The 25,311-nt window shown below is 47.5% G+C and overlaps 1 protein-coding gene across 25 annotated transcripts in view, besides 3 other annotated features; it reads left to right on the forward strand.

Moving 5' to 3' along the window:
- CAMTA1 (calmodulin binding transcription activator 1) overlaps positions 1-25,311 on the forward strand; it is a 984,253-nt gene that overhangs the window by 438,078 nt on the left and 520,864 nt on the right. The gene's annotated exons all lie outside the window — the stretch shown is intronic.
- Positions 797-1,297: an enhancer, noted in NCBI's record as "H3K4me1 hESC enhancer chr1:7284388-7284888 (GRCh37/hg19 assembly coordinates)". NCBI's record gives its function as "activates a minimal SCP1, AML or CMV promoter by ChIP-STARR-seq in primed H9 embryonic stem cells {active_cell/tissue: H9 hESC(primed)}" and the evidence as "EXISTENCE:reporter gene assay evidence [ECO:0000049][PMID:30033119]".
- Positions 1,298-1,798: an enhancer, noted in NCBI's record as "H3K4me1 hESC enhancer chr1:7284889-7285389 (GRCh37/hg19 assembly coordinates)". NCBI's record gives its function as "activates a minimal SCP1, AML or CMV promoter by ChIP-STARR-seq in primed H9 embryonic stem cells {active_cell/tissue: H9 hESC(primed)}" and the evidence as "EXISTENCE:reporter gene assay evidence [ECO:0000049][PMID:30033119]".
- Positions 21,938-22,439: an enhancer, noted in NCBI's record as "H3K4me1 hESC enhancer chr1:7305529-7306030 (GRCh37/hg19 assembly coordinates)". NCBI's record gives its function as "activates a minimal SCP1, AML or CMV promoter by ChIP-STARR-seq in naive H9 embryonic stem cells {active_cell/tissue: H9 hESC(naive)}" and the evidence as "EXISTENCE:reporter gene assay evidence [ECO:0000049][PMID:30033119]".

Consider the following 25,311-nt stretch of genomic DNA (forward strand, 5'->3'; position numbering starts at 1 on the left):
GCAACCTGAGGCCAGGGGTTGTGCTTTCTAGGGCCTCAGAACACCAGCATCGTCAACAGGTGAGTGCCTGCCATTTATATGAGGCCCTGGGTTTGCAAAGAGGGATGAATATGCAACATAAATAGTAATGCAAAGGGACAGTTAATAAATACTTGTCCGATGAATTCATGGATGCATGTGCCATTGCCAGGCTTATATTTGCTAAGCAATCTTCCCAGCATGTGTTAAATCTCTGACTCACCATGAATAAGGAGCTTAGAAGAGCTCATTTGAGTTTCCACGTGGTTCATGAATATGCAAGCGAGATTCCTTTTAATCTCAAATTTTATTTTATTAGATGTATTTACATGTATTTATTAGTTCTCAGGTTTACCTTGGGGCCTATGGGATATTTAACGAAGGTATCATCCCATCTTCACTGCAGTTGTTAGAGGGCGGGGTGGAAGATTGCTGAATAACTCGATCACCCCAGATGACCAGAGATCTTCTGGGTGTGTAATGACCACAGACTAATCTTAATCATAATCACTACCATGAACCCACATGACATGCAGTTGTATAAAGGATGGGGCACCTTAACGTTTGTAGCACCTTTACATAAAGCCAGAGTGCTCAAGCCATCCTGGACCTCACCCGATGGGAGGGAGAATGATGCTCTGCCAGGTGGAGGCCTTAGGTCTTGTCAGTCTCCTTTTACTGCAGGAGAGGCTGCAGGCTTAGCTGGAAACATAATCGCTGCTCAAGGTCAGGCTGTGCCCAGTGGCCGAGGCGCTTGGTGAGCTTTCCACTGGATGGCCTAAATTTGCACCGCTCTGCAGGCTCTCGTCCCAGTTGGCAAGGGCGCCACAGCTGGATGGCTCAGCGTCCACCCAAAGGGAAGTGGAAAAACCAGCAGCTGGCTGAATCTGAGAAGGTTTTCATGTTCCCAACGAGATCCAAGAGCAAAACAGTTTTCTGAAACTATTTTCCACTTGCTAAAATTAAGGTTATTATTATTATTTTTCAGGAATCTGCTGTGTACGGGTTTTATTTTTAAATGTCATCATCGTTTTGTACAGGAGCACAAAACTCATGAATTCCGTCCCTGCTCAAGCGGGGTCCCAGGTTGGAGGCGTGACACCCGCGCCTCTCCGCTGGTGTCATTGATTGCTAAGGGCAAGGCTCTAGGGTTAGTGGGGACCTGATGAAAGCCCACCTGGGGCTCTTGATGTGGGAGTGTTTGGTGGATATGCCTCCCTGCCCCGCTCCCCAGGGCCCTGCTCCGTAGCTGCTCCATGTCGTCTGGATGGTCCGTTGGCACCCTGCCCACCGCACTTCAGCTTCCCTTGCTGCCACCTGCATGGGCTGCTGCCCTGATGAGTCTCGGGTCACATGAGCTGCATCCTTATTGCCGCAGCCAGCAGATGGCAGAAAGCGCCTTGACCCCATCGTCTAGTGTCTCCTTGACTGAGATGAGGAGGCTGGAGGAGAGGCTAGGAAGAGTCAGGAAGGGGCTGTAAGGGGCCAGCTGGGCAGGGCACTGGAGCCTGGGGCAAATTCTTACTGATCTTGGCAGATCTCTTTTTTTTTTTGAGATGGAGTCTTGCTCTTTTGCCCAGGTTGGAGTGTGGTGGCACGATCGCAGCTCACTGCAAGCTCTGCCTCCCGGGCTCATGCCATTCTCCTGCCTCAGCCTCCCGAGTAGCTGGGACTACAGGCGCCCACCACCATGCCCAGCTAATTTTTATATTTTTTAGTAGAGACGGAATTTCACTGTGTTAGCCAGGATGGTCTCGATCTCCTGACCTCGTGATCCGCCTGCCTCGGCCTCCTAAAGTGTTGGGATTACAGGCGTGAGCCACCGTGCCCGGCCAGCAGATCTCTTTTATTACCCAGAAAGACCTCTACTGTCACCCTTTCCCTCCCCACCAACAATATCCTGGGAGCCTTTTCTCCGAGTGGCCCTGGGAATTCTTCATTTAAGGCATTGGATTTCCCTTGGAACTTCCCTTTCCTGGGGTTGTGGGTGGGGTGTTGCTGAGAACACCTGGGAGGGTCCATCAACAACCCATCAAGAGTGGCGAGGCCGGCACCCCAGTGCAATGTGCCAGCGGGGTTGACAGCTACCCCAGAGGAAAGGGTGGAAGCTCAGACACTTAGCAGGATTTCGGGGGTTCACTTCTCTGCATCAGTCCCTCTTTGGAGAAGGTCACAGGCGCATGATCATAGACTTTTGGTTGGCTCAGAGTTCCCTCGACAGTGGCATTTCCAGCTCAGAAGTTCAGGGTCTAGTCTCCCTGCAGGAAGATGGTGAGTGACAGAAACACATCCCCTCGACTGTTCCAGTGTGGCTCCTCTGCTCATCCCTACAGGGTTCCTGCCAGCAGCGAACCTTTCCGAGCCACTGATTCCTCATCTCAGGGGTTGGGATCCTAGCATCCCCTTTTGGGGGTATCCTAGGATGGCAGATGTGGGATGGCCTGGCGTGTTCAGCCCAGTGCCTGTCCACAGCCCCTTGAGGCAGGTGTTTCCTTCTTGCCTTCTCTGGCTTTGAGTTCAGTTGTCCCCACATCCCCTGAGGATCCAAAAGGGGCTTTTTAACTCTGCTCAATGAGAACTTTCCTTGAGGCCAAACACGTGCCTCCAAAGAACCCACTTTTAGGGGGCATGCAGGCCAAGGTTTATTGCAGTAAAAGGAGGTGACACAAAGCTCACTGCCTCCCCCTCAAATTCCCGCCCCGCCACCTCACCCTCATTGCCTGCCCCTCGTGGAATTACAATCATCTGCTTGTTATTTGTGATTTCCACTTGCCTTCAGGCTGTTCCAGGCAATGGCTGAGTTTCATCACCCTTACATCCCTAGGACTGGGTGCAGAGCAGGTGCCCCGTGAATGCTTGCTGAGTTCATGCTGTAATCCCTGTCCTTTAATTTCATTTAAATTAACATCTTTCTCTCTGATAAAGATAGAACAGGCTCATTGAAGAACATTCTTACCACACAGAAAGATACAACAAAAAGCAACCAACTTCACAAACATCCTCTGAAGTCCCATTTCCCAGAGATAGCCAGGGTCAAGGTTTTAGAGAACTCAATGCTTCCGGACTTTTCCTTATGTACACATAGACATATAGGTGCTGGGTAAGTGAAGAATTCTATAGAAATGAGATCTCACCATGCATTCCATTTTGCAATTTTTTTTTAAATAATGGAGCTCTTTCCATGTTAACAAATAGAGATATGCACATTTTTTCTAATAACTATCTACTATTCTATCAATATCCTGTGATTCATTTACCAAAGCAGTTAACTGAAGCCTTTTTTATTTTTTATTTTTTTTTTGAGATGGAGTCTCGCTCTGTCACCCGGGCTGGAGTGCAGTGGCACGGTCTCGGCTCACTGCAAGCTCCGCCTCCTGGGTTGACGCCATTCTCCTGCCTTAGCCTCCTGAGTAGCTGGGACTGCAGGCACCCACCACCACGCCTGGCTAATTTTTTTGTATTTTTAGTAGAGACGGGGTTTCACTGTGTTAGCCAGCATGGTCTCGATCTACTGACCTCGTGATCCACCCGCCTCATCTTCCCAAAGTGCTGGGATTACAGGCGTGAGCCACCACGCCCGGCCAACTGAAGCCATTTTTAGGGGTTTTCCACACTCTTCCTATCATAAACTAGGCTGTGGAGAATGTCACTCTGTCCGTCTCTGTGCCCCTGTCCGCCCAAATTAGTGGGACCAACCCCTTTTACAGGACACCAACCCCATTTATAAGTAGTTTACAGGATGCTACTTTGCTTCTGTGAACTTATCCCTTTGTTTTATTGTTTTTCGTTTTTGTGAGATGGAGTTTTTGCTCTTGTTGCCTAGGCTGACGTGCAATGGTGTGATCTTGGCTCACCGCAACCTCTGCCTTCTGGGTTCAAGCGATTCTCCTGCCTCAGCCACCTGAGTAGCTGGGATTACAGGCATGCGCCACCATGCCTGGCTAATTTTTTGTATTTTTAGTAGAGACGGGGTTTCTCCATGTTGGTCAGGCTGGTCTCGAACTCCCAACCTCAGGTGATCCACCTGCCTCAGCCTCCCAAATTGCTGGGATTACAGGCATGAGCCATTGCTCCCAGCCGAACTCATCCCTTTGTAAACGTCAAGTTTCTCCTGTGTGGGCCAATGTTCCTGGGGGCTGCCTGGGTTTCCTAAAATGGGGGTAATGATCTTTTATGACAAGGGGCATCCTGAGGAGTGACCAGTGACTGAGAAAACCTGGTAGTCTCTCTTGCTGCAACAGGATTGTATGCTGCGTGAGGACAGGAAGGGCTGTTTCTTCTAGCCCCTCCCCTCCCCAGGACTCCTCACCCAGGGCCCCTGCACATGGGGACTCGGGGTGGCTGCTGACTGCAAGAAAGAAGGGCCAAGGCGGGAGCCCCAGGCTGGCAGCGCTTTGTCCCTCAAACCTGCCAAAGGTTGTCGCCAGGCTTTGCACTCATCTTCTCAGCCACCTAGCTCCCCTGGCAGTAAAACATTATTTTCTATGAAATGATATGTCTGACATTTACCAAATTTTTATGTGACAATTTAGAAGGAACTGGTTGCATTAAACAGCCTTATTAATATTGCAGTAACATGATTGGGGAACATCATGGCTGTTAGACCACAGGGCTCTGATTTATAAGCTCTGGAGGCACAGAGGTCTCCATTGACCAAAACACCTTCAGCTCAATTCATGTATGGTTATCGAAATCCAGAGATGCAGTCCTGTGATCACGCAGCCCGTCAAAACAAGGGTGGTGTTGCGAGCTCTTCAAGAACTCCGGACTCAGCCGGGCATGGTGGCTCACGCCTGTAATCCCAGCACTTTGGGGGGCCGAGGCGGGCAGGTTCATGGCAGTAGTCAAGTGGGGCTCGTGCATGTGAGCCCTCGGCATAGCTCCTGACTCTCACTTCGTGCTCAGCAGGTGTGGGCTCTCACTGCGGTTCCAGCAGGGCCCTGTGGTCTCTGTTCCCAGCCCCAGTTAGGAACACACTGGAGATACTTTTGGAGACTCTTCTAGATCTGCAGAAGACCCCAAGATAAAGGGCTGTGGCTCTCCCAGGGGTTTTCAGCCCTCTGGGGACAGACATGTGGAGCAAACTGTAATGAAGCAAGAGCACCTACAGGGGCCTCGGACCGGGGATGGCGTTGCGGCACAGGAGGGGTGAGAACCTGCCAGCAGAGCAGGAGGCAGTGGCATTCGGGATTGGCCCTGAGGAACCAACCAGGATGCTGGACTTTGGCCAGGGGATGAAGCTCTGGGTTTGAAATAGGAGCCTCATGATCCACAGCTGCCTTGGGGCACTTTGGACTAAGGTGACAGTGTGTGCTGTGACACCAAGGCCTTAGGGCACATTGTGCTGCTGGAGGGGGATGGGTTTGGGTCAGGGGGCTTAAGGATGCATGGGAAGGGGCCACAGAGCAGGCTGAGCCCAGGGGGAGGGCTCTGCACACAGCCCAGGAATTCCCTTCACAGCAGTACAGAAAGTGTGTGCGTCAGGACAGGCATCTCCCTGGAGCAGGTGGAGGGGAGCCCAGAGGGCAGCCCCGCAGAGTCCAGGAGGAGATGATGAGGCCACCCCAGGGACAGCAGGGCCTGGGGCAGAGGAGGGAGAGTGGAGGTGAGAGCAGAGGGGGCTGAGAGAGCTCTAGGGGACAGGGGTTGCTGTCCTTCCATCCTCCCTGGGCCTTCTGCACGGCTTTGCCCTGGCACTGTGGGCCATTTCCCAGATTTGTAGAGGTTGTCAAATGCACCCCTGTTCCCAGGGAGCCGGGAAAGTGAGGGCAGATGGTGAAGTGTTGCAGGGCTGGACCACGAGGCAGCTGGAGGCCAGGACAATGGACTGGGCAGGGTTGCAGGGCCAAGTGCAGTGGTGAGAGCAGGTGAGAGGAGGGGAGGGGAGGAGGGGGGTGTGAAGGGGAGAAGGAAGGAGGGCAGGAGGAGGGGAGGGGAGGGGAGGACCAGAGGAAGCGGAGAGGAGGTGGGGGGGTGAGGAGGGGAGGATTGGAGGATGGGGATGGGGTGGAGAGGGGGAGAGGAGGGTGAGGAGAGGAGGGGAGGGCAGGAGGAGGGGAGGCTAGGAGGAGAGGGGGAAGGAGAGGAGGAAGGAGAGAAGGAGGAGAGGGGAGGAGGCAAGAGCCAGTCTGGAGGGAGCGAGCCTGTGAGCCAGGAGCACAGAGGGCGGGGGTTGGGCCTCAGCGTCCTTCATGAAGAACTCAATTCTTCAATGGCAGAGGATGTTTCTTTTTCCTCTGGTTATAAAACAGTTGATGTTCTTTATAGAGAAGTTGAGCTACAGATAGGTAAAAAGAAGAAAATAGCCCGCATAGTCCCCCGGCTCCCCGATGACCATTGGTGAGAAGTGAGGCCTGGTATTCACAATGACTCACATCCAGATGTTTCTTCTTGGGGTTTTGAGAGGCCGGTTGGGCTGAAGCTCCAAGGAATGACCTGAAGGCCCTGGTGAAGTGTTCCTGGGGCGCTTTCACCCCAAGGAGCTCTGAGCAGCCGGAGAAGGGGCTGAGGTATGTGGGCCTGTGAAGGACAGGAGCACCCAGAAAGCCGGTTCCTAGGGTGTCCCCCCCCACCACATCTGGGGAAAGCCCAGCCTGGCCTGGCTCCTGGCCCGGCCCTGAAGCCTAGGTTTGAAATTGTGGCTTAATGATCCACAGCTGCGCTTTTGGTTGCCAGCGCCCTCCTGAAAAACTAAAGAAGGCCTTAGCAATTTGAGAGAGCTCTGGGAAGCAGGAATGAGGCCGGGGTCTGGGGAGGAGGGTGGAAGAGGAAGAAAGAGTCTTTGAGGGCACTGGCAACCCCCAGCTCTGAGCCTGTGCCCTCTCCCGGCTTTCTTGGGCTCCTGGGTGCTGTGGATCTTGGCTGGGCTGCTGCTCTGGGCTGACCCCCCCCCCCCGCCCCGCAAAGCTCTGTGGAAAGCGCCTTACCTGCTTATCTCCCGCCATCTGGAACATCCTCCTGAATCTCTGCCTCATCGCCCATCATCTGTACCAAAAGCCATTCCTCTGATTCTAGTGTTAGTCCTGGCAGAGTGGCTGCAGTTGGCTGTCTTAGGTGTGCGAGAAAATCATTGTTTAGCCAAGGAGGTGGAGGGTGGAGGGTTATCCCTCAGGCTCTTCAGCTCGGGAGCCCATGCCGGAGAGATCTGGGAAAGCATCCTTATTTGTTGGCCCAGGTGAAGAGCAGCCAGGCAGGGCAGCCAAGGTGACTCCTGGACCCAGCCCCAGCCCCCGGGAGCCACGCCAGTTGGGGAGATGGCATGAGGGACTGGCGCCCGCAATGTCTCTAGGAGCTGTTGGCTGAGGGTGGCTGAGGCCCTCAGTCCTGTCTTGTTGGGGGCACACAGTGGGATCCTCTCTCCTTGAACCCAGAGTCACTCAGCACCATGCTCGTGGCTGAGGGAACCAGTGTACAGAGGGACCCCCCAGGAGCCTGGAGGGTGTGGCAGCAAATAGGAGCCATGGCTGCATCCAAGGTGGAAGGAGGCCAACTGGGTCACATGGCAAGAGGGACTCCCAACTCAGGGTGCAGTCGAGTCTGATCGTGGGATGAGAGCCCCGGTGGCTACCTCCCTAAGTAGGATAAGCAGCCCCCGGGGGATCTGCCCAGGCAACCTCCTGGCCCCTTGACGTGGGCCTGAAGCTTGGAAATAGCCTGATGGTGTCCAGGCAAGGGCTGAGGAGGAGGATAGCAGGAGAGTCCAGGGAAGCCAAGCAGGCTGGCTCAGGGGGCCGTTGCAGGCACTGCGTGACCCCAGCATTCATCACATACTGGCTTAATGTGTGTGTGTGTGTGTGTGTGTGAGAGAGAGAGAGAGAGAGAGAGGTTTTATTTTTTTTGAAAGAGTCTCGCTCTGTCGCCCAGGCTGGAGTGCAGTGGCATGATCTCGTCTCGGCTCACTGCAACCTCTGCCTCCCAGGTTCAAGCAATTCTCCTGTCTTAGTCTCCCAAGTAGCTGGGATTACAGGTGCCAACCACCATGCCTGGCTAATTTTTGTATTTTTGGTGGAGGCGGGGTTTCACCATGTTGGTCAGGCTGGTCTTGAACTTCTGACCTCAGGTAATCCACTCATCTCAGCCTCCCAAAATGCTGGGATTATAGGTGTAAGACACTGCACCCGGCCGAGATTTTCAATCAAAGCTGCTATGTGGCTCCGATGAGATGGAGATGACAGCTCCCCTATGCGGCAGCCAGACCTGGGGCCAAGCGCAGCCTCCCTCGGGTCACTGCTTGGCCTCTGACATGTGCTGTCCTCTTCTGTCAAATGGGGATCTAATCCTATTGAACAGGATTGTGCAGGTTAAAGGAAAGGCTTCTTATAGTGCAAACAAAGCAAGCATGGCCTCTGCCCTCACAGAGACTTCTTGGAGCTCAAACAGAACAAATGTGGCCTCTGCCCTCATGGAGACCCCAGCAGCAGGGATGGCTCAGCCTGCCAACTTTCATGTTGGGGGTGCATGCGATGCCGGGGAGGACTTGGCTGGGAGACACCACCCATCGGAGGCTGGTTTTGTTCTCCCTGAGTGGGTGGTCCCCGCAGAGAGAGCGGGGCCTGTTAGAGGACTCCAGGGCAGAGGTGCCTTCCTGATCCAGGACCCTCCAGCCCTTTGTCTCTGGCCTGTGTGGCTGGGGGACACCACGTGGTTGGCCAGCAGATGGAGGGACAGTTGCCTGGAATCCCAGTCTCAGTGGCTGAGCAAGGCACCCTGGACTCCCCAGGTGTGGCTGTGCTGCACACGGCTGCCCCGGCTTCTCAGCACTCATGGCCGGCTCTCGCTTCCCCGGAGGCACCGACATCTGCCTGTTCATCCCAGTTGTCCTGTTTGCTTTGGAACCAGGAGCATGATTTACGTCCGAGTGCGTTTTTATGTTTTGCACCAAAGGTTTTAAACAGTTCCTAGACAAAACAATTCTATTTTAATGCACAGAATTCCTATCTTGGGTTATCTTCTTTACAGCCATATATGTTTTATTAGTTTATTTTTATTGGCCTATCTCCTTGCTAGAACATAAGCTCCCTGAGGACCAGGGCACACCTGTGTAGCACTCTGTTCCCGGTGCCTACCACGGGGCCAGGCACGTAGGGAGCCTCCAGAAACAGGTTGAGAGGGTGCACAGACCGGTGTTTGCAGGGGCCGGCTGTTTATGTAGCTCTCCCTTTGTGGCAGCTACTCTCCGCCCATCTTTCTCTTAATAGTTATGGATTATGGAAAAGAAGAACAAAGCGCATTAAGAGGTTCCCCTACATTTGATTTGAGGAAGTTTTCATCCGAATGGCTCCATTGATTGGCCTTTCGCGTGCAGCCTTATTCCCTTCTCACAAAATGAATATTGCCTTGTCTCCTTGAGAAAAATTGATTTCAGCCAGAAAGGAGAAGAGCAAACTCCCTCCTCCTGCTCTTCTTTTTTTTTTTTCCCTCCCACCGAGACGGAATTTATCTCTTAGGTAGGTGGGGGGTAGAAATAGGAATAATTGGACCAGAAGCTAATTCCCAGAGATTCATTGTCTCGAAAGCTCCCACCAGAATGTGAGAAGCTTGCCTTGAATTGCATGCTAATGATAAATGACAACTCTAACAGACCGTCACATTGAGATGTTTAGTCCTTCCTGCTAGGAGATGACACATTAATTTTCTCTCAGATTTACATTGGATTCTTAATAAAATATCGGTGTTGGAATATGACAAGTGAGGGGCCACGGAAGCACCAGGCACCATTTGGGAGGCATGGACTTTGGCCGGAGGAGACTGCGGTGGGGCTGAACATGAGCCAGGCGCTGGGTGGCATTGGAGCAGGGCTCCCATCACTGTGCTGGGATGGGGCTTACGTGACCTGGCTGCACCAAGCAGCAGGAATGGCTGGTCCTCTTTCTTGACTATAGTGTTGAATGCAAAGACAGGTGATGCCATTAATTCTCTCTCATCTTAAACCCCCTTTTCTTTGGCTTGTCACTGACCAAATGCTTTCAGCGTAATAAGTGAAGTTTTCTATTTTTAAGAAAAGTTGCTGTTTCTTGATTAATTTGCTCATTTGATGAGGACTTATGGAGTGTTTGCTGTTTACAAGTTATGAAGGTAGAGAGGCAGAAGCAGCAGCCAGACATGCCAAGTCTAAGTGATCATCCCACTTCCCTGCTTCAAAACCTCCAGTTGCTTCCATGGCCTCGAGAGCAATGTTCGGAATTCTCGGAGGATCCACAAAGCCCCGGGATCTAACCCCTCTGGACGTGCAGTTCCCTTTGTCTGGAAGGCGCCTCTCCCCGTTCTTTTTGGCTGACTTTTACTCTCTTTAATCCCTCGGCCTACTATCACTTTTTCAAGGGGCCGGGGAGGTGGGGGTCATAACCCCTCTGCCCTGGTCTGGACCCAGCCTCTCTGTAGGATGCTGTCAGGTGCCCTCTGCTTTTTCTTCCTTGCGCTTACCGGAGTTGCACTCTCCAGGTTAATTTATGCCGTCTTACATTTTATGCTACATTTGTATTAAGATTGGAGTCCTCGCTTTTCCTTCATCGCTGTTAATACACGTGTACCCTTGGTTAATTCGTGTCTCTCATCACTCTTACAGTAAAATCCACCCTGGTTCAGGAGCCCAGATTACTTGGGGTGAGCCGCTCTCTCGCCCCGTCTCCTGCCCCTGCCCTGTTCTTTGTCTGCCAGCCTCTGCCAAGCTTCCTCTCCAAACCTGGGCCTCGCCACGCTCTCTACCGAAAGCCCTTCCAGGGAGCCAGCATTCATGTCCTTGCCTTCGCCTCCGCTTCCACCCAGATGCTGCGTCCTGGGAGAGGCCTCTTGGCTGCCCATTGCCACCCACTCACAGCTGTTCTCAAACCCACTCATTCGCTATCTCTGGTGGGTCCCCTTTCCCTCCTGCAGCTCTGGGGCCTGCCCAGGGCGGGCCTCTGTGCGTCATTGTTCTTCCTCCCTACCGGACTGCAAGCTGTGCAGAGGCAGGGCTGTGGCACCCTCAGCACCCGGCGTGAATGCTCAGCCGTGATAGCTGCTCAGTAAATATTAACTGAACAAATCAGTGAACGTCAGCGTAGAGTTTCAAGCCGAGGCCCTGGGAGCCCTGGGAAGGTGCCATGAAGGAGGCGTTCCTCCAGTCTTGCTCTGGAGCGAGTCTTGGTCATTACCATCTCTCCAAATGGGCAGCCTCTTCTTTTCAGGGACCTCCAGAGACAATTTATGTGAACAAACTGTGGCTTAACGATCTTGGGAAATTGGAAAATACAAGTTGACCTTTTTTTTTTTTTTTTTAGATAGAGTCTCACTTTGTCACCCAGGCTGGAGTGCGGTGGTGTGATCATAGCTCACTGCAACCTCCACTTCCCAGGTTCAAGCGATTCTTGCACCTCAGCCTCATGAGTAGCTGGGATTAAAAGCACCTGCCACCACACCTGGCTAATTTTTGTATTTTTAGTAGAGATGGGGTTTCACCATGTCGGTCAGGCTGGTCTCGAACTCCTGACCTCAGGTGATCCTCCTGCCTCAGGCTCCCAAAGTGCTGGGATTACAGTCGTGAGCCACCATGCCCAGCCAAAAATACAAATTGATTTCTGACTCTGAGTTCTGGAAGCCCTAGCCACCCTTCATCCTGTTCTCAACTCTCCACAAAGACATTGTGGCCCTTAGAGATGGAATCTAGGTGTGTCCCGACCCGCCAGGTTCTCCTCTTGCTTGGTTGTTCGGGATCAGCCTTCCTAGGGTTATAGCGAGGATTCGATGAGACTGACTGCATGAAACACTAGCTACAGGATAGTGCCATTGGCTATCCTTGCTTTTATTCAGAAAAATGAGGCCGGGCGCATGGCTCACCCCTGTAATCCAGCACTTTGAGAGGCTGAGGCGGGTGGATCATTTGAGGCCAGGAGTTTGAAACCAGCCTGGCCAACATGGCGAAACCCCTGTGTCTACTAAAAATACAAAAATTAGCTGGGCGTGTTTGGTGGGCGCCTGTTGTCTCAGCTACTTGGGAGGGTGAGGCAGGAGAATTGCTTGAGCCCAAGAGGCGGAGGTTGCAGTGAGCAGAGATCATGCCATGGTACTCCACCCTGGGTGACAAAGCGAGACTTTGTCTCCAAAAAGAAAAGAAAAATGAAAGCACACGCTGAATCTCTGGGAACGAAGCTCTTCGGAAGCACCAGCTTCTGGGCCCTGCCCATTGAACACGGCAAAAGCAGGAGCAATCACGGCCGTCTGGTGGCTTGTGGGGGGCTTTTAGGCCGACAAATCTATCTAGTCGTTTGTTCTCTGATAAGAAAACCTCTTTTACGATTTTCAATTTGCCCTTATTTTAATGAAAAGAAGCTGGGATTGGACCGCCCAAGAAGGAGCTAATCAAATAAAGCAAATTGGTGCTACCTTCTCCTTGTCCTTATTATTCGTATGGCTCTAGCTGGAATGTATTATGAGAAGCAATTGGTTTTCATATCTGGCAGATTGCAGCCTGGGCCGGGCCTGTCAGCCTTCTCTTCCCCCTCTTTTCATAAACAGCTGAGAGTGGCCGGGCTGCGGGGTGTGGGGGAGGACACGGAATGCTTGTAACCAGTTTTCTTGCTCCTTGTCCCCCAAATCGTGAAGACCCCTGTAAACAAGTCAGAGGAAGTCTCCAGGTTGAAAGTTAGTAAGCCAGTTCCTTCCTGTGAGATTCGGGCTGTCGCCGTGGCTTCTTGAGGTTCCATGTGGCGGTCCTGTCAACCTTGCTATGTGCAAGGCATCAATTACTGCCCTCGCTGGGTTTGTGCGAGGGAGAGATAAGCAGAGGAGACGTTCCTTCATCGCACTTTTTCCCTCCCCTTGCAACAAAAGGAAGAACTACAATTTAAATCAGGCTCAGCCCGCCCTTGCTCTGTATGAAGTGTTTTGCCATGGGCGGTTCTTGGGCTCCCCAAAGTACTATGAGTTGTTGTGACTGTAGAAGGGGAGGGGTAGCTGGGGCGTGCCAGGGATTTGAAACAAGACATCAGGAGGGGGTGCAGTGGGGCAATTCCCTGGTTCTCCCCTTACCGGCTGTGCGACGTTGGGGAAGTTACTTCACTTCTCTGTGCCCTAAGCCTTCTCACCCTGTAAAATGAAGATAGCAATACCCAGCTACTAAAGTGACTGTCAGATTAAAATGGAACATGGGTGTAAAGGGCCCTCCCCGGCACCTGGCACAAGGTCCATGCAGAATAAATGGCAGCTCTTCTCATGGTCGCAGTTGTCCTGGTTGTTACTGACATTTTAGTCCAGGCCACGTACCTCTAATGGTGCATGGAAATCAGGCCATTCCGTGTTGGAAAGATCAGAAAGAAAGGTGCAGGTGCATGAAATATGTAAGCTGCAATAAAGGGTGACATTCCTCATTTTCCAACTGCCCACTGGAACAGAGATTCTGCACTGGCCTCAGGAATAGTGTCCACTCTTCTAGGACACTGCAGGCCCTGTCTTGTCACGGGAGCCTGATTGACATTTGGGGTCAGGGCTGGGAGGCAGTTGGAACTGCATGAACTGCCTTTCCCTCCAGCCAGGCCCTTCCCTGTGCCTTGTGGCAGGAGCGATAGGACCAAAGGCATTGGGAGGAAACAGTGGAGCTGACCTAGGGTTTGGGTTCCAGCTGGAAAAAGAGTTCTTTAGAAGCCATCCAGATACTGTTCCTGGAGTCCCACTGGGAACTGGGACATCATCTGTTCTTAAAGGGGTGCTGCAAGTAACAGATCTTATGAATTCAGAGGAGCAATAGCCGGTCAACCTGAACAGAGCTTATTGCACAAAATCTGCTGCCTCCGGGCCAGGGCTGGGGGAATGGGCTGACAGGAGAAAGATCCACCGCAAGTCCACGGCTCACTGGAATAGCAGGCTGGGTCTCAGTTGTCTGCACAGATGAAATTGGTGGTTGTTGAGGTCCTGGAAATGATCAGTTAGTGACAGAGAAAGTGGGGGTTTGAGGGAGAGGGGCCATGAACCAGACCTGTTTTGGATGCATTGATTTCTAAAGCAAGACGCTGGAAAGAGTGTCTACACTTTTTATTTTGCAGAATTAACCTAGTCTTCGATTCAATCCCCAGTTGCTCCATAAATTTCTACTTAATATCCACACGCAAAACGTCTCAAGAACACATCACCCCTCTGATCTTCAGTTATTAATCATCTTTTATCTACCTAATTTGAAAAAGATCACTCCCTAAAGTGATAGGTGAGTCTGTGAGCTGCAAGTGTTTGGAGCTGGCCTCTCCCATGGGTGGGTTTGCCGGCTACACCTTACAATGCACCATTTCATTACTCTCTCAGTCCCCTCATTGTTACTCCCCACAGGGGAACCCTACAAAAAGAGGACAAGTCTGTTAGTTACAGAGAACATGTGCTATATGACAGGCAGCACACCGGGCACCTTACACACATCCTATTCACTAAAACAGAGAGACCAAGTAATTTGTTCAAGATCACACAGCTCTTAAGGAGCTGAGCTAAAATTTAAGATACAACCTAGATCTCACTCCAAATCTCATAATCTTCTTTTAAAAAACATACTATTATGGAAAAATTTCAAACATCTACAAATATAAACAGACTAGCATAATGAATTCACATATACGTATCATTCAACTTTAATATGGTCAGTCTTCTTTCTTTTTTTTTTTTTTTAAAGCAAAAACATTTTGCTATGGAAATACTGGATGGTTTTATAGGATTCAAAGGGAGAGATACATCTGAAGCTTGGGCACAGAATGGCAACAGGGATGAGACTCGGTGGTTTAGAGCAAATGGGCTGAAGTCAGATAGTCTGGATTTGAATGTTGACTCTCACGCTTACTAGTCCTCTGACCTTGAAAATTTGCTTAACCACTCAGTGTACTCAACTCTAAAATGGATATAAGAGCAGTGCTTCCTCATAGGTAGTTCTGAGCATTAAGCAGTTAATGTACGTGAAGAATAGAACATGGAATGACCAAGACTCGCTGCAGAGCAAGACTGGAGGAATTCCTTCATGGCTCCTTCCCAGGGCTCCCAGGGGCTCAGCTTGAAACTCTACGCTGATGTTCACTGATTTGTTCAGTTAATATTTACTGAGCAGGGCCAGGTGTGGTGGTTCATGCCTATAATCCCAGCACTTTGGGAGGCCAAGGCAGGCAGATCACCTGAGGTCAGGAGTTCAAGACCAGCCTGACCAACATGGTGAAACCCTGTCTCTACTAAAAATACAAAAATTAGCGGGGCGTGGGGCATGTACCTGTAATCCCAGCTTCCAGGGAGGCTGAGGCAGGAGAATTGCTTGAACCCGGGAGGTGCAAGTTGCAGTGAGCCAAGATAGTACCATTGCACTCCAGTCTGGGTGACAGAGCGAGACTCCATCTCAAAACAAAACAAAATATATTTACCGAGCAGCTATCGTGGCCGAGCATTCACGTGGGGTGCCGTGGGTGCCACAGCCCCACCTCTGCACAGCTTGCAGTCCAGTGGGGAGGAAGGACAATTTTATATCAGTGCCCGCTATTTGGTAAGCACTCAATAATTGTTGTTTCTTTGAATTCTTCTTGTTATTATACCATGGTCAGTCTTATTTCATCCATACTCTCCCATTCCTTCCCTCAACATTATTTGGAAGCATCTCTCAGACACTGTATAATTTCATCAGTAAATATTTCAGTATACTTCTCTAAAAGATAAGTTCTCTTTTAAAAAAATACTTCTGCACTACACTGATCACTGTTACAAATGAATAATAATTCTAAATCTCATTACATACCCAGTCACTGTTCAACATTTCGGTTGTTTCACAAATGCCATCTTTCATTTTACAGTTTGTTTGGCTCAGACAGTATCCAAGTAAGGTCTACATATTGCAATTGGTTGATTATTTCTTTGACTTTTTCAGGCTATATGTTCTCATTCCAGCACACTCCTGCTCTTTTTTTCTCTCTTACTTACTCATTCTTCCTCAGAGAATTGGTTAAAGAAGCCAAGTCATTTGCCCCGTAGAGTCTTCCATAGTCTGGATTTTGCTGACTGTATCCCCATGGCATCATTTACGATACCATGTCCCAGCGCCCTCTGCAGATTGTAGAAAGTGGAGGTTAGAGCAAGAGTTCTCAATAGCTTCAAGGTCAATTTTTTTTTTTTTTTTTTTTTTTTTGCAGCAAAATGTACTTCCATCAGGGGATGTCTTAGTCCATTTGTGTTGCTATAATGGAATACTACAGACTGGGTAATTTATAAACAATAGAAGTTTACTTGGCTCATGGTTCTGGAGGCTGGGAAGTTCAGGAGCATGGCGCCTTGTGAGGGCCTTTGTGCTACATCATCGCGTGGTGGAAGGTGGAAGGGCAAGAGAGGGCAAGAATGAGAGAATGAGAATGAGAGAGGAGGAGGGGGCCACCAGACTCACTTTTATTAAAAAAAAGCCACTCCTGTAATAACTAACTCACTCCCAAGGTAATGACGTTAATCCATTCATGACCTAATCACCTCTTATTAGGCCTGACCTCCCAACAGTGTTGTAGTGGGGATTAAGTTTCCAACACATGACCTTTAGGGGGACACATCCAAACCATAGCAGAGGACATGTACTATCTGGTTGTCTCTCTTTTGTGATGTCAGCCACCATTGATGATCCATGCCCAGATCCATTAATTCATTAGGGATGACAAAACAATGATATTTTAATTCTCTCATTTCTTCTTCATTTATTGGCTGGAGTACTTTTATAGAGAAAGTTCTTTCTCCTCCTATTTGGTAACTCAAAAGAACAGTTTGTACAGGAAAGGCAGGATATGTGGCCTAATTCTCCTTTTCTTTTTTTATTTTTTTAGTTTTCAAAATAATGTATTGGGTCACTAGCATCTTCCAACAATGAGCAATTAGTTTTTTGTTTGTTTGAGGACTATTATGAACTCATAGATTTAAACATATTTAATGTATTTCAGTCGAATGTTGATGTTCAAATTGTCCCATCTTTGGTTAGTGGGAGCCTCTTCAAGTTGGTTCCAGAGTCTTTTTTTTTTTTTTTTTAATTGAGATGGGGTCTCACTCTGTCACCCAGGCTGGAGTGCAGTGGTGCTATCTCGGTTCACTGTAACCTCCGCCTCCTGGGCTCAAGTGATTCTCTCACCTCAGCCTCCTGAGTAGCTGGGACCACAGGCATGTGCCACCACACTTTGTTGTAGAGACAGGGTTTTGCCATGTTGTCCAGGCTGGTCTTGAACTCATGAGCTCAAGCAATCTGCCCTCCTCAGCCTCCCAAAGTGCTGAGATTACACACGTGAGCCACCACACCTGGTCTGGAGTCCTTTTCATATTAGCTTAAGTCTTCCATACAGCTAACATCATACTTAATGATGAAAGACTGTATGCTTCCCCCTAAAATCAGGAACAGGGCAAAGTGTTGATTCTCACCGCTTCTATTCAACATTGGACTGGAGGTGCCAGCCAGTGCAATAAAGCAAGAGAAAGAAAAGCATCCACAATGGGAAGAAGAAAGTGGAGTCACAGGTGACTTAATTATATATGTAAACTATCCTAAAGAATCTACAAAAAAAATTTACTAGAACTAATAAATAGGTTTAGCAAGGGTCACAGGATAAGATCAACATACAAAATTCAATTGTATTTCTATATAGTACAAATGAACAATCCAAAAATAAATTGAGAAAACAATTTCATTCATAATATCTTCAAAATAATAAAGTGCATAGGATAAATGTAAGTTACAAAGTGTAAAACCCATATATTGAAAACTACAAAGTCTTAATGAAAGAAATTACGGATTTACCTGGGTAGAAAGACATTCCATGTTCTGCAATTGGAAGTGGTTGGAAGACTCAATATTGTTAAGATGGCAATTCTCTCAAAATTGATTTCTAGATTCAGTACAACTCCAATTAAAATTCTAGCAGCCTTTTTTCCTCAGAAATTGTCAAGCTAACCCTAAAATATATATGGAAATACAAAGGACTTAAAATAGCCAAAACAGTTTTGAAAAAGAAGAACAAAGTTGGAGGACTTATAGTCCCGGATTTCAAAACTTATTATAAAGCTGCTACAATCAAGATAGATAGTATTGGCATAAAAATAGACAATGGAACAGAAGAGAAAGTTCAGAAATAAAATCATATGTTTATGGTCAATTTATTTTCAACAAAGGTGCAAAAGCAATTCAGTGGAGTTGGGGGTGGAGAAAATAGGCTGTTTAAATTTAAAAAATGGTGCTGGGACAATTGGATATTCAGTGACAAAAATAAACTTGACCTTTATCTCACACCATATGCAAAAATTCACTCAAAATGGATCATGACCTAAATGCAAGAGCTAAAGATATAAAAGATATAGAAGAAGACATAAGACATGTTTATTACCTTGGGTTCGGCAAAGCACCCTTAGATGAGACTAAGTACTATTCATAAAAGAAAAAATTGATAAATTGGAACTTACCAAAGGGGAAAATTTTTACTCTTTTAAAGAAACCATCAAGCCATTAAGGAAAAGAGGGACAAGTTATGGATTGGGAGAAAGTATTTGCAAATCATATGTCTGATAAAGGACTTGTATCTAGATTATATGTAAAGAGCTCTTAAAACTCAAAAAACAAGAAGGCAACTCAATTAAAAATAGGCAAGAGATTCAAATAGATTCAATGTCTATCTGAATGGCTAACAAGGACATGAAAAGGTACTCAACATCATTAGTTATTAGGGAAATGCAAATTAAAACCACAATACACTCACTAGGATGCCTATAATCCAAAAGACAGATAATGTCAAACGCTGGGGAGGATGTGGAGAAATTGGAACCCTCCTCCATTCCTAGTGGGAATGAATGGAAAATGGTGCTGCCATGTTGGAAAACAGTCTGGCAGTTTTATTTTTATCTAATAAGATGTAAGTATCTTTCACATATTGTTGCTGGGTTTTCAATCATGGTTAAGAAAGTTTTCTCCACTTTCAGGTTATAGAGAAATTCACCTGTATTTTCTTGTAGGGTAGGTATGATTTTATTTATTACATTGAAATCTCTGACTGTTTAGCATCAGTGCTGCTGTATGATGTGAGGGGTAAACCCATTTTGGTATTTTCCATGTGCCTTCTAGGTCCCCCAATTTCACTTATGAAAAACTTGACCCCTTCAGCCAGGCGTGGTGGCTCACGCCTGTAATCCCAGCACTTTGGGAGGGTGAGGCAGGCAGATCACAAGGTCAGGAGATCGAGACCATCCTGGCTAACACAGTGAAACCCCGTCTCTACTGAAAATAAAATAAATAAATAAATAAATAAATAAATAAATAAATAAAAATTAGCCGGGCATGGTGGCGGGCGCCTATAGTCCCAGCTACTTGGGAGGCTGAGGCAGGAGAATGGCATGAACCCAGAAGGCGGAGCTTGCAGTGAGCCGAGATCGCACCATTGCACTCCAGCCTGGGCGACAAAGCAAGACTCCATCTCAAAAAATAAAAAATAAAAAAAAGAAAGAAAAACTTGACTTCTTCTCCCACTGACTTGAGATACCTCCTTGATTGTGTATACTGAATTTGTATGTGTAAGTGGAATTATTTCTGAAATTTCTATTCTGTTCCATTGGCTTGTCTCTGCATGTGTAAATTCCATACTTTTTAAGATATAAAACTTTTCTCATACGTGTTAATAGCTGGTAACGCTAGCCCCTATGCCTTGGTCTTCTTTTGGGAGGTTTATTTGGCTATTCTTAGTGCTTCTTCCTTTCAAATAAACTTTACAATAAAATGTTCTAGATCCAGAAAAAAAATTACTGATGGGATTCTCATTGTTATGACTTCACATTTATAGATTAACTTGGGTTTTCTTCTAGGGTTTTTATGGTTTTAGGTCTAACATATAAGTCTTTAATCCATCTTGAATTAATTTTTGTATAAGGTGTAAGGAAGGGATCCAGTTTCAGTTTTCTACATATGGCTAGCCAGTTTTCCCAGCACCATTTATTAAATAGGGAATCATTTCCCCATTGATTGTTTCTGTCAGGTTTGTCAAAGATCAGATAGTTGTAGATACGCAGCATTATTTCTGAGGGCTCTGTTCTGTTCCATTGGTCTATATCTCTGTTTTGGTACCAGTACCATGCTGTTTTGGTTACTGTAGCCTTGTAGTATAGTTTGAAGTCAGGTAGCGTGACGCCTCCAGCTTTGTTCTTTTGGCTTAGGATTGACCTGGCAATGTGGGCTCTTTTTTGGTTCCATATGAACTTTAAAGTAGTTTTTTTCCAATTCTGTGAAGAAAGTCATTGGTAGCTTGATGGGGATGGCATTGAATCTATAAATTTTTCAGGACATAGGAATGGGCAAGGACTTCATGTCTAAAACACCAAAAGCAATGGCAACAAAAGCCAAAATTGACAAATGGGATCTCATTAAACCAAAGAGCTTCTGCACAGCAAAAGAAACCACCATCAGAGTGAAAAGGCAACCTACAGAATGGGAGAAAATTTTTGCAATCTACTCATCTGACAAAGGGCTAATATCCAGAATCTACAATGAACTCAAACAAATTTACAAGAAAAAAACAAACCACCCCATCAAAAAGTGGGCGAGGGATATGAACAGACACTTCTCAAAAGAAGACATTTATGCAGCCAAAAAACACATGAAAAAATGCTCATCATCACTGGCCATCAGAGAAATGCAAATCAAAACCACAATGAGATACCATCTCACACCAGTTAGAATGGCGATCATTAAAAAGTCAGGAAACAACAGGTGCTGGAGAGGATGTGGAGAAATAGGAACACTTTTACACTGTTAGTGGGACTGTAAACTAGTTCAACCATTGCGGAAGTCGGTGTGGCGATTCCTCAGGGATCTAGAACCAGAAATACCATTTGACCTAGCCATCCCATTACTGGGCATATACCCAAAGGATTATAAATCATGCTGCTATAAATACACATGCACATGTATGTTTATTGCGGCACTATTCACAATAGCAAAGACTTGGAACCAACCCAAATGTCCAACAATGACAGACTGGATTAAGAAAATGTGGCACATATATACCATGGAATACTATGCAGCCATAAAAAATGATGAGTTCATGTCCTTTGTAGGGACATGGATGAAGCTGGAAACCATCATTCTCAGCAAACTATCGCAAGGACAAAAAACCAAACACCACATGTTCTCACTCATAGGTGGGAACTGAACAATGAGAGCCCATGGACACAGGAAGGGGAACAGCACACACTGGGGACTGTTGTGGGGTTGGGGGAGGCGGGGAGGGATAGCATTAGGAGATATACCTAATGCTAAACGACGAGTTAATGGGTGCAGCACACCAACATGGCACATGTATACATATGTAACAAACCTGCACGTTGTGCACATGTACCCTAAAGCTTAAAGTATAATAATAATAATAAAAATAAATACATAAATAAATTAATTAATTAATTAACTTCGGAAGATTGACATTTTAATGATCATAACTCTACCTAACCAAGACATGTTTTTGCATGAATCAAAACCTACTCTTGTGTCTGTTAGAATATTTTTAGAGTTTTTCTTTTAGGTTTTGGGAATTTCTTGTTAAATGTATGCCTAGGCATTTAATTTTGTTTTTCTGTAGTAAATGGGGACTTCCATCATTTCATCAATCTATCTAGTCAATAGTTTATATTTTAATTATTTAGCCAAGATATATATATATATGTGTGTGTGTATATATATATATATCACACACACACACATACATACATACATACACACACATACATACAATGTCTATAAGCTATTGGCTGATAATCTATAAGCCAATAGCATATAGATGTTTCATATATTTCTGTCTTATATATAATATATATTATACAGTTTTACTCTGTGTAATCTACGCAGTCTTACTGAGACTGTATTATATATATAATACATATAACAGATCTTATAGAAGATGTATCTATAAGCCAATAGCTTATAGATATTATATATATACGATATCTTTCTTGGCTAGATAATTAAAATATAAGCTAACTTTATACCCATTTCTTTACTGTTATAATTTGTAGTAGGTTTCCATTGATCCCCTGACCTTTTTGCCATGTTGCACTGAGCGCTATTGGTTTTGCTCGCTATTAGTCTCTTAGATAAAAGGTTTCCTTGGCTAGATACCTCCCTAGTGAGAATAAAGCTCCCTGTTGTCCCCGTATTTTTCTTGACATGCCTCTGCACGGCTGCAGTGGAGGTCTCGGAAGGTTTCCCTGTGGCTGTCTCACACCATCAGCCTTCGTTCAGCTTCCCCAGAAGGAGATCCCGAGATGAAGACTTGAGTGTGAACAGTTTATCTGAGAAGCCATCCCAGGAAACACCAGTCAGGGCATGTGGAAGTGAAAGAGGAGGAGGAGGAATGCAAATGAAGGGCCATTCCCCCTGCAAGTCACCACTGTGGGAACTGGAGCTAACAAGCAGAGGGGAGTTTCACATAGGGCACTCAGAGCGACCCCCTCCACCGGGCAGGGAAGCCTGAGATTGCCCCAGAGTGACCCCAGCCACAGGGAAAGGAAGCCTGGGATTCACCCATGAAATCCCTGTCTATCGGGTAAAGGATGCTTTCAGGGTGGTAATGATCACCCAGCAGGTGGAGCAGAACGGAGACTGGCCCCACAGCCTGTGCTAGCCCAGCAGCCTCAGGGGCAACTCTGGAGTCAGACCAACTCAGCGTGTATCCTGCCTGAACACTTTGTGGCTAGAATGGTTTGATTATATGCTGGGAATGATAATAATACCTACCTCATAGGGTGGGTGCAAGGATGCCAATAATATGGATCATAGTTAAGGGTTATAGGTATAAGTACGGATATAGATTTAGGTGTAGATGATACAGACACGCAAGTGGCGTGCCCCACTGGTACCGGGCACACAGTAAATCAACAATAACTGGAAGTGGGTGGCATTATTAAGTTGCAGGACTTCCATGCCTGCCCCATGAAGCTTCTGTTATCCTGTCTGCCTGCAATTCCATTCCTGTTTTCCTGCTCTTCTTGTGGGGAGGGGGGCTATCTTTTATGCCATCATGAAGTGTGTTAAAGCCCTCCCCTGACTGGGCCCTGTGGTCTAGCCCACCTGTCATTCGTCCCAGAGCAGGACCCCACTTCCCTCCTCCTTCCTCTGATCCCTTCCCACCAGCTCTGACCTGCTTTTTTTTTTTTTTTTTTTTTTGACATGCTTTGTGCCCCAGGCCAGAGTGCCGTGGCACGATCTCAGCTCACTGCAACCTCTGCCTCCCAGGTTCAAAAGATTCTCCTGCCTCAGCCTCCTGGGTAGCTGGAATTACAGGTGCCTGCCACCATGCCAGGCTAATTTTTTGTATTTTTAGTAGAGGTGGGGTTTCACCATGTTGGCCAGGCTGGTTCCAAACTCCTGTCCTCAAGTGATCCACCTGCCTCGGCCTCCCAAAGTACTGGGTCTGACTTGCTTTTGATTCTTTTCTGGGACGGCAGTACGGCCTCATTTTCTTTGCCTTGGGGGCACGTGGGCCCTTCTGCAGCCTGTCTTTCTCCTTTGCTGTTCCTAGGACCCTGAGTTGTGGTAAGGGCCTTCCCCATCACACAGAGCCGAACAAGTTCTAATAAAATCAGATTGGTGGATTAAACACTATTAGGTTGCTCATTATTGCAAGTTAAAATGATGATTCCATTTATTAAGGCCATTTAAGCTGGACACTTAAGTTCCCTGTGGGATTGTATCCTGCTGAAAGTGCCGGATGACAGGGCTACTCTCAGAATGCCAAAGGGCGGGTCACCAGAGGAAGGTGGGTTTCCTAGGGTGAGTGCAGTTGCGATTCTGACTGTGTACATGACAGTGTTTGAGAGAGTCCTCTCTCTGTGGGTCATACCACTTACGATGTGGGAACGGTTTGCCTGAGTACCCTGCTGAGGTTATTAGTCATATTTAGAAAGGGCAAGGGATGGAACAAATCACAGTTCATGTCTTAGCTCACAAGAGGCTAGATTGGATCAACGTCCAGTCTTCTCCTTGGATGGAGTATCTTCATTCTCCAGTCACAGAAAACCCATCCACAGAAGAAGACCCGGCATTGCCACACTCTCATGAGTGTCTTCATTCTTTTTTTGGAGAGAATGAGCCACACGCAGAGCCCACCTGTTTCATTAAACAAGTTCCCTTGCTTATTCCTTAGGAAGTGGTCCTAAGCACAGTCCGTGGACCTCAGGCACCTTCTAATGGGTCTTTCAGGGGCGGGGAGGGCTTACAGCACGGTGAAGATTAAGGACAAACATCTAGAGAGGGGCTGAAGCGGGAAGAGGCTGACATCGTTGGCCCCACATGCAAGCCTACCTGCCATTTAGAAATGGAAGTGAATTGTAAGGTTTCCAATGCAGACTTGTAAGCAGGAGACAGATACCAGCGGGTGACAGCATTGTGACAAGCGCGTGGAGCCATTTCCTGATTGTTTTAGTCGATACAGACTTAGGGAGGAAACCAACACTGACACAAACCAATTGTGCCCTGATCGGGAAACAATGAAGTATCGGGAGTCGCTGTTGAAAGTCTGTAATTTCCAGCGGAATTGCTGTTTAGTCATCATATTGCCGCTGAATGACATAGTGGGGCTGGGTGGAAACTACAATTAGCTGCAGTCACCCTGGTGGGACTGTTTTTTTCCCCCCAGACAATAGAATATGAAGCCATCAACAGCCAATGTTCTGTGCTGCTTGTGAAATGGCCCATTGTTCGTAGCAAGAAGAAAAGAAAGGCGCTGGAGGGTCTTGCCCCAGCCCTGCGGGGGACAGATGGCTGACTTATGGTTTCCTCGCCTCCGTTGTAGCAGAGCAACATACAAGCCAGGCTGAAGAAGCCCCACTTCATTTGCCTTATTTGTGTAAAGAGCTCTCTGGCCGTGGCTGAGAGTGAGGTGGCAAGCCTGCACTGGCCTCGTGGTGCGCAGAATCGCTGGCATTCCTCTTCCCCTGCTGCACGTTCAGGTGCAGAGTGGTGCAGCACTGCGTGGGGTGCTGCTAGATTTTGGGGGAGTCTTCCTTGACGTTGGATCTGCCCACAGCTACTGAAACTTTATTCTGAAAGTGGTTTATCACAGCACTTGCCCTCAGCTGCTAGAGGGGTTTAGTTCTTTCTCTCCTTGGGGTTTCCAAACCCAAATATGTGACCTGACCACCGCATCTGCAGATATGCACGTCATCAGCCTCTCCTCTCTGTGGTGGACGCGTGTTTTCTTTTTGGCAAATTCAAGGTTCTTTACCTTTTTCATCATCACACGAATGACCATCTAACTCTTAGCATTTAGGGAGCAAGCCGCTATTTCCCTGAGATGCTCTGGCTGTGGACTGAAT

The sequence above is a fragment of the Homo sapiens genome, chromosome 1 (genome assembly GCF_000001405.40).
Source record: "Homo sapiens chromosome 1, GRCh38.p14 Primary Assembly".
Taxonomy (NCBI): Eukaryota; Metazoa; Chordata; class Mammalia; order Primates; family Hominidae; genus Homo; species Homo sapiens.